The sequence below is a fragment of the Homo sapiens genome, chromosome 1 (genome assembly GCF_000001405.40).
Source record: "Homo sapiens chromosome 1, GRCh38.p14 Primary Assembly".
Lineage (NCBI taxonomy): Eukaryota > Metazoa > Chordata > Mammalia > Primates > Hominidae > Homo > Homo sapiens.
Window position 1 is genome coordinate 187945269 of NC_000001.11, and position 3556 is coordinate 187948824.

Consider the following 3556-nt stretch of genomic DNA (forward strand, 5'->3'; position numbering starts at 1 on the left):
GCTAATTAATTCAGGAAGTTTAAATTATAGAGATATTTTATTTTGTTTCTACAGCATAATTATTTTAGTTATTTGTTTTTCTTCTTGTTTTTTATATTTTCAATATGTTCAAATACCTGCTTATTTCTACTGCTAATTAATTCAATTCTGAGGCTTCATTCAATGTTAGGACGTGAATCAATTGTACTAGTAACATGCATCCTATTAAAATTATATACAGAATTTTAAAATGTTTTGGAAGACTTCCAGTTTCCACTCTGCCTTGTAAGGTGCTTTGAAGTCTTCACTCCATCCAACAACAAGTAAAAAGATGAGCAAACTGAAAAATCAAAAACTTTTTTTAGATTCATAAGAGAAGTGAAATGACAGGACAACCCACTGTTTCCAAAGATTGAAGAGACAAGAAGATACAGAGAACTACAACCTACTAGAACAGAAATTCGTAAGCAGAAATCTCAGGAACCAGTATTAAGGTAGGAGAACCTGAAGTGTAATTGATGAATCTGTAGAGTCTCAATGTGGACAAGTCTGAGAGATAAAAACTCTAGGAAAATCAGTCATAGGGATGTCCTCAAATTTTTATGAGTTTCACCTCTGGGAACTCTACCTTCAAAAGTGAAGGAGAAATAAAACTCAGACAAACAAAAATAAAGGGAATTTCTGACCAGTAGATCTGCTTTGTAATAGGTATGATAAGAAGGAAAATGATGTAGGTTAGAAACTTGAATCTACACAAAGAAAGTAATAGCATTAGAAAAATGCTATAAAAGGAAAGAAAATAGAATCACATGAAATAGTCAATTAAAACCACAAAAGGCAGAAAAAGTATTGAAGACTAAAATACAAACAAAGGACAAGGGCAAAAAATAGAAAACAGTAAGAAATATAGTAGATATTGTTTCAACTATATCAATAATCACCTTAAATGTCAATGATTGAAATGCACCAATTTTAAGAAATTTTTGTCAGAGTAGATTAAAAAAAGAGGACCCAACAATATATTGTCTGTAAGAAACCCCTTTTAAAAATGAAAGCACACATAATTAATCATAAATAAATGAAGAAATATATATAATGGTAATGGTAATCAGTAGATAGTGGAAGTAGTTATAATAATTTCAGATAGAACAGACATCAGAGCAAGAAAAGTTATCTAGGATAAACAGAGCACTACATAATGATAAAAGGGTCAATTTTCCAAGAAGACATAACAATCATTAATATGTATGTGCCTGGTATGGTTTGGCTATGTCCCCATCCATATCTCATCTTTAATTCCCAAGTGTTGTGGTAGGTAATTGAATCATGGGGGCAGGTCTTTCCCATGCTGTTCTCATGATAGTGAGTAAGTCTTATGAGATCTCATGGTTATTATAAGGGGGAGTTTTCCTGCACAGCTCTCTTTTTGCCTGCTGCCATCCATGTAAGATGTGACTTGCTCCTCCTTGCCTTCCACCATGATTTTGAGGCTTCCACAGTGACATGAAACTGTAATCCAATTAAATCTCTTTCTATTGTAAATTGCCCATTCTCGAGTATATCTTTATCAGTAACATGAAAATGGACTAATACAGTAAATTGGTACCAGGAGTGGGATGCTGCTGAAAAGATACCCGAAAATGTGGAAGCAACTTTGGAACTGGGTAACAGGCAGAGGTTGGAACAGTTTGGAGAGCTCAGAAGAAGACAGGAAAATGTGGAAAAGTTTGGAACACTTGTTGAATGGCTTTGCCCAAAATGCTGATATTGATATGTACAATAAGGTACACGCTGAGGTGGTCTCAGATGGAGATGAGAAGCTTGTTGTGAACTGGAGCAAAGGCGACTCTTGTTATGTTGTAGCAAAGATACTGGTGGCATTTTGCCCCTGCCCTAGAGATTTGTGGAATTTTGAACTTGAGAGGGATGATTTAGGGTAGCTGGTGGAAGAAATTTCTGAGTAGCAAAACATTCAAGATGTGACTTGGGTGCTGTTAAAGGACTCAGTTTTATTAGGGAAGCAGAGCATACAAGTTGAAAAATTTGCAGCCTCACAATGTGATAGAAAAGAAAAATCCATTTTCTGAGGAGAAATTCAAGCCAGCTGCAGAAAATTGCATAAGTAACAAGGAGATGAATGTTAATCCCCAAGACAATGTCTCTAGGGCATGTCAGAGGTCTTCACAACCACCTCTCCCATCACAAGCCCAGAGAAAATGGTTTTATCAGCCAAGCCCAGGGTTCCTGTGCTGTATTCAGCCTAGGGACTTGGTGCCCTGCATTCCAGCCACTCCAGTGGTGACTAAAATGGGCCAAGGTGCAGCTTGGCCTATTGCTTCAGAGGATGCAAGCCCCAAGTCTTGGCAGCTTTCATATGGTGTTGAGCCTGCAGGTACACAGAAATCAAGAATTGAGGTTTAGGAACCTCTGCCTAGATTTCAGAAGATACCTGGAAAAGCCTGAATGCCTAGGCAGAAGTTTGCTGCAGGGGTGGGGCTGTCATGGAGAATCTCTGCTAGGACAGTGCGGAAGGGAAATGTGGGGTCAGAGCCCCCACACAGAGTCCTTACTGGGGTACCACCTAGTGGATCTGTGAGAGAGGGCCATGGTCCTCCAGACCCCAGAATGGTAGATCCACCAACAGCTTGCACCATGTGCGTGGAAAAGCTGCAGACACTCAATACCAGCCTGTGAAGGCAGCCAGGAGGGAGGCTGCACACTGCAAAGCCACAGGGGTGGAGGTGCTCAAACCATGGGAACTTACCTCTTACATCAGCATGACCTGGATGTGAGACATTGAGTCAAAGTAGATCATTTTGGAGCTTTAAGATTTGACTGTCCTGCTGGATTTTGGACTTGCATGGGACCTGTAACTCCTTTGTTTGGGCCAATTTCTCCCATTTGGAATGGCTGTATTTACCCAATGCCTGTACCCCCATTATATCTAGGAAGTAACTAAGTTGCTTTTGATTTTACAGGCTCACAGGCGGAAGGGATTTGCCTTTTCTCAGATGAGACTTTGGACTGTGGACTTTTGAGTTAATGCTGAAATGAGTCAGGACTTTAGGGAACTGCTGGGAAGGCATGATTAGTTTTGAAATGTGAAGGTATGAGATTTGGGAGGGGCCAGGGTGGAAATGATATGGTTTGGCTCTGTATCCCCACCCAAATCTCATTTTGTAGGTCCCATAATTCCCATGTGTTGTTGGAGTGACCTGGTGGGAGATAACTGAATCATGGGAGTGGGTCTTTCCTGTGCTGTTCTCATGATAGTGAATGGGTCTCATGAGATGTGGTGGCTTTAAAAATGGGAATTTCCCTGCACAAGCTTTCTTCTCTTGTCTGCTGCCTTGTGAGATGTGACTTTCACTTTCTGCCATGATTGTGAGGCTTCCCCAGTCACATGGAACTTTAAGTCCAACTAAACCTTTCTTTTGTTAATTTCTCAGCCTTGGGTATGTCCTTATCAGCAGTGTGAAAATGGACTAATACAGTGCTTGATGACAGAGCATCAAAAAACATGAGGCAAACACTGATAGAACTTCAAAGAAAAAAAATAAATTAATCTACCTACTGT